Source organism: Homo sapiens, chromosome 5 (genome assembly GCF_000001405.40).
Source record: "Homo sapiens chromosome 5, GRCh38.p14 Primary Assembly".
NCBI classification, from domain to species: domain Eukaryota; kingdom Metazoa; phylum Chordata; class Mammalia; order Primates; family Hominidae; genus Homo; species Homo sapiens.
In genome coordinates, this window is record NC_000005.10 from 91,478,001 (window position 1) to 91,488,384 (window position 10,384).

A 10,384-nucleotide genomic window follows, 5' to 3' on the forward strand; every position below is an offset into this window, starting at 1 on the left:
AAATTAGCACTATAACAAGTGATGATAAAGAAAGGGAGTAATGAAACACATAAGCTGTCAGTGGGAATATAAGCAGGTGCAACCACAGGCAATGCTCACAACACTTAACCACGGTGTCAGGCATTAATGCTTTAGTTACTGAATTGTGGGAAAGTCTCTGTTGGCTAAGAGGCTGGCTAGGTACAATGACAAACTTGTCCTATTTTAACTTCTCTGGCTTAAAACTGAAATGTCCTGTCCTAGAAACCCTCTCAGTCCCAGGAAAGCTGGGATAGTTTAGGTTACCCTGTGGACATAGCAGTTGCAAGGGGATCCTCCAGGGACTTAGGGCAGCAGCTGTTTATCAAGTGTGGAACTATTTCAATATTTTACAAACAGGTCAAGTCATGCTGGTGTGTAGCAGCTGGATACATGCACTTTGGAAGACATTTTGGCATTTGGCGTTCTGTGAACTTCAATATACATATGCTCTGTGACTCCCAAGTTCCTCTCAGTGGCATATAGATTAGAACAACTCTTGAGCATGTGTGTTAGGAAATGTGTACAAGAATGTCATGGCGGCATTGTATGTAATAACAAAAAAAGTTGGAAACAGACATCCTGCAACAAGACATTAGATGACTGTATTGTGCTTTTCATACAATGGAATACTGTGAAGCAGTAGCATTGAAGGGACCAGCATGAACTCATCTCACAAATGATATTGAACCAAATAAACAAGTTGAAAAATACAGAGGGTAAAGTTAGAATCAGGCAAAAGTAAGTAATATTTTAAGGAGATACAAACATATAAAATTATGAAGAATAGCAAGTAGATAATAAATACAAAAATTTGTGGTGGTGATTCCCTTTGGGATAAAGGAAGGGGCTCACAAAAGCCTTCAAAGTTCTTGCAATGTTCCATTTTTAAGCTAACTAGTGATATGTGGTTGTTCTTTTTATTCTTTTCACCTAATGCATGCTTTATAAATTGTTTAATATGTTTACAATATTTAATAAAAAATTTTAAATCTCAAAAGTTAAATTTTTGGGGGACACTGTCAATGTTTGTATCTTTCATATCCTTCAAAAGGAAATGGAAAACTAATCATTTAACGAATATTTATTGATTCATTACTGTGCACGAGGTACAGAAAGATTGAAAAAGAAATGAAAAACAAAATTCCTCCCTTGAAAGGCATAAATTCTAGTGAGGGAGAATAACAATAAGTCTCTATATAAATAAATATGTAAGTAAATGGGTACAATATATCTGTGGTAAAATTCAGTTTGAGATTATCGTTAGAAAATAATAAAAACCAGCCCTGGCACTGTGGCTTATGCCTGTAATCACAGCACTTTGGGAGACTGAAGTGGGCAGATAACTTGAGGTCAGGAGTTTGAGACCAGCCTGGCCAACATGGCAAAATCCCATCTCTACCAAAAATACAAAAATTAGCTGGGTGTGGTGGCACACACCTGTAGTCCCAGCTACTCGGGAGGCTAAGGTAGGAGAATCACTTGAACCTGCAAGGTGGAAGTTGCAGTGACCTGTGATCATACCACTGCAACTCCAGCCTTGTGACAGAGCAAGACTCTGTCTCAAACAAACAAAAAACCAAAACCAAAACCAAAACCAAAACCAAAACAAAAAATAATAAAAACCACAGGGAATATAAGGTGATGATGGGGTGTTAAAAGTGGCTATTTTAGACGGAGGTCAGGAAAAGCCTCCAGGAGCATGAACAGAGGATTAGATGAAGAGTGGAACCAGCCATGTAAATATTTGGGAAAAGAGCATTCTGGCGAGTGAAGAGCCTGCCAGCTCATCTCCCAAAGCTCTCTCCAAAACCATCTCTTTCATTTAGTCTCAGGGAAGCCATCCTCTTTCTCCCAGTTAGGGCCACTTCCCATCCATCAACTCCACACCTCTCTCCAGACTTTATTGCTTTTGTAAGCAGAGGCTTTTCCAAATCAAGGCCTGTTAACTTTGGCAAGACAGCCTTCAGGCCTCCACGATTTTCAGGTTAGTTTGCTCTCTTGTTGGAGGAAGAGGGCAACATTGTTCATTCTTTTGCGTCTTTAAAGAAGCAAAATGCCGGGCGTGGTGGCTCACACCTGTAATCCCAGCACTTTGGGAGGCCAAGGCGGGTGGATCACGAGGTCAGGAGATCGAGACCATCCTGGCTAACATGGTGAAACCCCATCTCTACTAAAAATACAAAAAAATTAGCTGGGCTTGGTGTCGGGCGCCTGTAATCCCAGCTACTCAGGAGACTGAGGCAGGAGAATGCTGTGAACCTGGGAGGCGGAGCTTGCAGTGAGCCGAGATCGTGCCACTGCACTCTAGCCTGGGTGACAGAGTGAGACTCTGTCTCAAAAATAAAATAAAATAAAATAAAATAAAATAAAAAAGCAAGAATGCATGAATCATCTCAATAGATTACCTTGCCACATTAGGCAGGATAACAGTTTTTGAAGTCTGTTTGATGACTATAGTGCCTACTAAGTCTGCAGAACCAATCTTCATAAAGGCCTAGAGAAGATTTTCTATGGTCAGTTTATGTAGTTATTTTCGGGTTAGAATGTTTTGTGTGGTCAACTTATGCAACTAATATCTTCATATCTTCGTTCAGACTTTTTTTTTAACTCTAGACTTGCATATCTAACTGCCCATTTTTAAAAATCTCAGCTTGGATATATTATAGATGTTTCAAATTTAACATGTCTGAAAAACAAATCTTCAATTTTTTCTTTAAATATTTCCCTTATCTCAGTAAATAGCAGAATCATGTTTTAATTTGCTTAGGCCTTAAATCTCTTAATCATTCTTGACCCTTGTTTTCTCTCATAGGCTATATCTAATGTAGCTGAAATTCCTGTTGGTTCCAGAACCTGACCACTTCTTACTCACTTCACTGCTATCACCCAGGCTGTGTCCACCCACATTCTTTGCCTGGATTATGGCAATGGACTTCCGACTTGTCTCTCTACAGTCCACCTAAGTTCCTTATAGTTCAGGCTCTCATAATGTGTCCCATAGATCCCTGAGGGTCCCCAAGACCCTTTCTTGGGGTACATGAGGTCAAATCTAATTTCTTAATTATATGAGGATCTACTGCTATTTTTCACTCTTACTGACATTTGTGTTGTTGGTGCAAAGGCAGTGGTGAGTAAATTGCTAGTGCATTATCACAAATCGAGCCAGTGGCACCAAAGTCTACTAGCAGTCAAACTGTACTTCACTAACAATCCACCAAAAAAAACGCAATTTCACTTAAGGATGTCCTTGATAAAGTAGCAAAAACTAAGATTTGTTCTCTCTTGAGAATACAACTTTTTAATATTCTATATGATGATGTGGGAAGTATGCAGAAAGCATTTCTGTTGCATACTGACATATGGTGCCTGTCTGGAAGGAACACATTGTGCAGTTGCTTTAGACAAAAACTAAACTATCTACTTTTTTTCATGAAACATCTATTTACTTGAATGAAAAACAGACAGAAAACAATAGTTATTCAGATTTGAACATTTGGCAGACATTTTCTTAAAAATAAATAAAATAAGCCTAACAGTTCATGGAAAGCAATTTACAGTATCTGTTGCTGATGATAAAGTTTTTAAGTGAAAATTCAAATTTTGGAAAACTTGTATGTGCTTGAGAAATTTTCAATACCTAAGAACTTTTCATTTGATATTAGAAGTGCTATTAATGAATATGATTTTTGATATTATGTAATGAAATGTTTGCAAGTTTGGAGAATCTGCATAACTCAATGAATCAATAATTTTTTCAAATGACCAATGCATGATGTTAAGAGATCATGTATGGATAAAATATCCATTCAAAGTGCAGAATAGCTGGATAGTCCCAGCTACTTGGGAGGCTTGAGCCCAGGAGTTTGAGACCAGCCTGGGCAACACGGCGAGAACCCATCTCAAAACAAACAAACAAACAGTACAGAATAGACCAATGGATCTTTCTGAAACAGAGTAGACGAGGTTTATTAACATGGTTTGAAAATCACCTTTAAGAAACTAGTACTTGTTAAGTTTTGGTATAATATCAAAGAAGAATATACAAAATTATCTGAAAAATTAATTGAAACACTCATTCCTTTTTCGATTACATTGTTGTGTAAGGTTGGATTTTCTTAATATACTTTAACCAAAACATCATATAGCCATAAATTTAATGCAGAAGATTTGAAACTCCAACTGTCTTTTATGAGGCCAGATATTCATGAAATTTGCAAAGGTGTAAAGCAGTGCTACTCTTCTATCAAGTATTTTTTTGGCTTGAAAATATGCTTATTTAAAAAATATGTTATTTATCTTATTTTGTAATGGGTCATTATTACTTTAAAATGAATTAACAGACATTTAAAAACATTCTTACTAAATAGACTGAGATACAGTAAATATTTATACATATAACCCTGTTAAAGAAAATCTCTTTGGAGTCCTCAGTAAGTTTTAGGTGTAAAGTGCCTGTGAGATTAAAAAGTTGAGCTGCTGCTTTTATCTCTTTCCTGAGTGACAGGCAGAGTCAACCATGCCACTCCTACCCCAACACAACCCAATGGTTCCTCCTTCACTCATGGTAAAAGCCAGAGCTCTCACAGTGGCCCATGAGGTCTCTCATTGAGCTTGTCTTCTCTAACCTTACCCTTTGTTCATGTTGCTCTAGATACCCTGACTTTGCTGTGTTCAGGAACATGCCAAGCTTATTTGGCCTAAGAGTTTCTCTGCTTTTTCCTTTTGCCCTGAGCCCTCTTCCCCCAGATTTTTGTTTATCTTTTCATTTCATTTCTTGGCTATGCAAATGTTACCTCAAGGGAGTCACCCCTCTTGCTTTTCCAAAACTGTTATTTACCCCACTTGCTTAAATTTTTGTGATGGCACTTCTCATTACCTGATAATGTAATTTGCATTTATATTTTTACTTGCTTACTACCTGTCCTTTCTAGTAGAACTGCCACTGTATTAGGTAACAGGTTTTGTTATGTTCATTGATTCAACTATAGGATCTAGAATGCACCAGACACGTAGTATATATTTGTTGTATAAGTGATTTAATGGTCTGTCTTAACATCTTAGAGGTAACTGTGGCAGCTTCATTCACCCTCACTTTGCAGCCCAAAGTTGGAGAACTTTTCTGAAGGACTTCTATATGTCCATTTTGAAACAAGTCAGAGAAAGAGTCCTTTGTGCTAGGCTGACCAGATAGTTCCAGGCCAGGATTTTCATGGGATTTCCACTTTACAACAGAGGTCTTGAAATACCATAGTCCTGGACTACTTATGGTCTACTTTGATGGCAAGTTCCAACTAATAACACACCATTTAATACTATATTGTGGAGTTTACTTGGCCGATGTAACAAGTCATAGAGCGTATATCAGTTCCTACAGTCTGTTGCTTTTCCTAAGCTCTCTTACTGGTTGGATACCTTCCTTATGTTGTAAAATCCTTTCCCTAGTCATACTTTTTTGGCGGGCTAGATACTATGAGTTTTTGCAATCACCAGAGAACATTGCAAAAATTCAACATCACTAAAATTTTGTCTGTATATAGGTCAGACCTTGCCTCTGCATGCAGGAAGCTTCTTGTACCATAAAGCAAAGAGCTTGTAACGATCCATTTTTCTCTCCTTATAATACTAGGGCCATCAGCTCTTCCCACTCTTTCCCTTATTCCAAAAATTTGTGTAAGAAAGATTATGAGAGAATTTGTAAGTATAGCATACATTTGTTTGAAATATATCAGAAGGAGATAAGTTTTCATAAAAGAAAACCTCAGAAATAATATGACTTTTTAAAAACCAATTGTATTTGCAAAGACTTAGGCTTATAAGCAAAAAATTAATTGCACACTTTAAAAGAGGTATTTATTGTGGAATTCTCTATGTGTTATTTTTTGATTTCATAGTAATTATACCATTTACCATCAAGATAACATTATTAAGATCTTAGAGTGAGCTATTTTAAAGGTTCATTTAAATATATTATTTCTTCAAATCCTCAAATCACTCTATTATAAATACTCACCGCCATTTTGTAAATAAACTGAGGCTGGACTGGGTGCAGTGGCTCATGCCTGTAATCCCAGCACTTTGGGAGACCAAGGCACGTGAATCACCTGAGGTCAGGAGTTCAAGACCAGCCTGGCCAACATAGTGAAACCCCATCTCTACTAAAAATATAAAAATTAGCTGGGTGTGGTGGCATGCGCCTAAAATCCTAGCTACTCGGGAGGCTGAGGCAGGAGAATCGCTTGAGCCCGGGAGGCAGTAGTTGCAGTGAGCCAAGATGGCGCCATTGCACTCCAGCCTGGGTGACAGAGCAAGACTCCGTCTCAAAAAAAAAAAAAGAAGCTGAGGCTGAGAGTTTAAGTAATGTGTACAAGATTCTGCAGCTAATAAAATAAGTGGGAGCATCAGAATTCAATCTCAGTTCTTCTGATTTCTAGTCCAGTTCTCTTTCTATTTTTTCTCTTTCTATTTTACCATTATACTATTTTGAGGTAACATTGAGTAAGGGTTCTTTATCATCTTGGTTAGTTAAGTGCATATTGATTTAACATTCATGTAATAATTGAATAATCACCTTTAGCAAATACCAGAGAATATAAATGCAGCCCAAAAATTATAAAGTACCATTGAAAGATAACAATTTCTTCTGAAAATCCAATTTCAACAGGAGGCCAAGAGGAAATTTATATTATCAAATAAATAAGGGACTGAAAGAAAGCAGAATTTGTATGAGCTTGTACTATGAGATACCATCATAAAAAACTGATGGCATCTTTCAGAATTGGTTAAAAGCCACAAACTTAAGAAGGAGAGGGAATTGGAAGTCTCTTCAAATATCTACTGTGTCTAGTCATGAGGCTATTTCCTGGACACTAGGAATGACAATTATTTTATCCAAGCAAAGTAAACACTCTTCCCTGTTGCCAAATATCAGTAAGAAACATAGCTGGCAAAGAGTGAGGTGAAGGTTAAAAAAACAAGAGAGAATATATTTATACTGATTTTTTAAGTGCTGAGTGTAATAGTTATTAATGTTAGTAAAAATGGATTAATTAGACAAGCATTCGACATTGAAAACAGCAGGCTTCTCTGTGATTTCTCAAAGTAATTTTTAATTGAAAATATGGGAACCCAAGAAAGTGATTTGATTAAAATTCTTTACTTTCAACATTGGTAATTACAACAATAATTTCTTATTGCAGCACTTTTGAATATTAGTTAACTATTTAATTTTATGATGCATGTCACTGATATACCTAACTGCTAGAAGATGATATGGTAATACACTTGTCATTAGTGCTTACTGATGTGTGAATTAAACATTGGTATAAAAGATGCTTCTCACAGTCATGTAAATGTTAATTAAATTGGTAAGTATAAAAACACTTCTTCTGAGCAACTTTTAATTTAAGCAGTTAGAATAAATATGTTACACATCAGGATGTTCTGATTCATATATTTTGGGATTGAGGAAAAATGACTTTGGCAGGTTCCCTCTTAGAGTCATCAAATAGCTGTCTGTTCTTCTAATTAAGTATTTTGACATAAACTTTGAATGTAATAAGATAATATTAAAGAATTGTTTACGGAAAGATAACTAATAAGTCAACATGATGAGGCATACTAGGAGAGCACAATCGGAGCAGCCTTCCTCACAGAAATTAGGTAATGAGGCAGCTGCAAAAAATGCTGGTATAATTTTTAACTGATTTAAAAATACATCACAGAGAGGTGAGAGTGCTGCTGTACTTCATATTGGTAGGGGCAAATGTAGCATATTGTCTTCATCAGCGAGGGATGTGGCCTTGTGAGAGGGGAGAATAACCAGCAATGGGAGAAGCTTTACAACCATGACAGTGCAGCCAGATCTGAAAGTCATGGGGATGTTTCTTCTAGAGAGATAAAGACATAGATAGATTAATGTTTTTTTTGAGAAAAGTATTTATTAGCCAGTGTCCTTGGTGTGTCTTGAAATTAGGACACAATTGTTGTAGCTACAGACCAATTACCAGAAAGAATAGGCAGTGAAATTCATACACTGTTCTCTTACTTGTTTGTACTGTCTTCCAAAAGATTAGCATTAGTTCTTGATTATAGAATTTTCCAAATGAAAATGTTTGCATTTTGACCTTTCAGAATGAAATTTAAAAACTGTGTTTAAAAAGACTTTAGATAAATTTAAGGAATAGTTGTTAAGCAAAATTAGAGGAAACATGAAGAAGCTGGGACTTTCTGTGTTAAAAAAAATGTTTCTCATCTTTAGCCTCTCCCAACAAAAGATTTTCAAAATCAGTGATGACACCAGAAAAATGAATAATGATCAGATCCAGCATGCTATCAATAAGGCATAGTCTCAGATTAAAACCTCAAGGGTTTGCCTGTAAGACGTTTGTTGTGACCTAAGAAAAGTTTAAGGGTGTGCTTAGGGCTTCCAAAAATATTAATGCATGCCCTTTCTGATAGAAAATAGGTCCCCTAAAGATCTTAAGAGTGTGACTCTTAGATATTTTAAACTAGAAAAAAGGCTTCTAAGTACCCTAAAGTCCATGGACTTTGATGCTTGGGCCAAGTATTTTTAGAAAGAAATTGGGGTGTGAATTTTGTTGAGTGGAGTGGATTATAATTTGACACACAGGAGGCCCACAAAGCTTCTAAAGGAGTTACACAAAGTTTGACTTAAAGGGATGAGATGATACAAAATGAAAAGGAAATTCTTTGTATTCCTAACTCGCAGGAGACAAGTTAAAAAAAAACCCTGCTTATTTGCAAAGATGACTATTCTCATGAAGAAAGAGGGATGACTCAGAGGGCAGAATCAAGATCCCAGGAGGAGCAGTCAAAAGCTACAGAGAATCACTCCCAGGAAATAGGACTGTGCCATAATTAGGGAACCAGTGACACATGCCCAAATAGATTTCAGAACGTCTGTGGACCTGCTATGTACCTACCATTTTGTCTCTTTGTGAAAGAGAGAATCTATTTCAGTCATCCTATGCCTTTTCACTATTGTGTGATATGTGTATGTGGCAGATAATTTGTCTCTTAAGTTAACAAGTCTTCAGATTTACAGAAACTGTACTTGCAAGATTTGAACCTGAAGAAACATGGCACATCTGCACTTGGACCCAGTTTAAATAACAAGATCTTGAACCTCAAACCTGAGCCTGATGCCATAGTGGGATGAGAATATTGAGAATCTTGAAAGAGTGAGTGGTACAGGCACAAATTTTGGTGGCCAAAAGGCAAACTGATAGTAAAAGAATGTCCCTATGAATTCTGTTCCTTTTTATATAGACATGCTTCTACTTATGTCAAGAAGAGGATTTTTAATTTCCCTCTTCTTGAATCTGGGCTGACCTCAGTGACTTTCTTGACCAATAAAATGTGGTGAAAATTATGTTATGGGATGTCTGAGGATAGGTGATAAGAAGCTACACAGATCCTGTCTTGTTTGTTGCAATGCTTACTTATGAGACATTTCCATTCAGAAAGTTGCTGTTGCTGTGAGAAGCTCCAGCCACAAAGAGAGGCCACTTGTAGGTATTCCAGTTGAATGCTGCAACTGGGCTTCCCACCAGGAGCCAGCATTAATTGCTATCTTGGATGAGTGGCTCAGTTAAGCCTCAGCCATTGTCTTCCGTTGTATGAGACACTTCAAATAAGAGCTACTCAGCAGAGCCCAGTCAATCCACAGAGCCATGAGAGACTATACATTGCTTTAAGCTACTAGAATTTGCAACGTTTTGTAATGCATAGATAACCAAAACAATAACCATTTATTCCCACTTTGCACACTTCTTTCTCTCCACATGGAATACCTTGCTTTGATACTTTTCTAGCATTCCACTAGCAAATCTTTCATCTGGCCTCTATTTCAAAATTCCAAATAGAATTCACCCTCTCTTGAGTAACTTTCCTTGTTTTCGACTCTTCCCTCAACACGTGGGATTTAATTTGTCTCATGATAATTTTTACTTAGTGACACTGTGTTTCAAAAGTTTTTGATTCATTCTCTAGGGTATATGCTCTGCTTTTTTTCATATAGTTGTAACATTTTTAACACAGATTAAATTTCTTATACTCCCTCCACCCCCAACCACAGCTCCAAGTTCATACTCATCACTTCAAAATTTTAACCAACTAAACCTCTTCTAGAGTGCTTCTTGGACTTGAAGGATAAGTTTTACACTCTTTGATGGTCTAGCCACCATACTGAACTTGTTTAACATGAACTATTGATCACCACATGAAACTTTCTGTTCTATACCACATTAATGGTTTGAAAGTCTGTGGGCTGTTTAGTTATCTTGAGTTGCTATTGACCCGTTTTCTTATTTTTCCCTGTTGCTGCCTTGACTTGGCCTATTAC

The 10,384-nt window shown here is 36.9% G+C and overlaps 1 annotated feature.

Moving 5' to 3' along the window:
• Positions 9,341–9,888: an enhancer, noted in NCBI's record as "OCT4-NANOG hESC enhancer chr5:90783158-90783705 (GRCh37/hg19 assembly coordinates)". NCBI's record gives its function as "activates a minimal SCP1, AML or CMV promoter by ChIP-STARR-seq in primed H9 embryonic stem cells {active_cell/tissue: H9 hESC(primed)}" and the evidence as "EXISTENCE:reporter gene assay evidence [ECO:0000049][PMID:30033119]".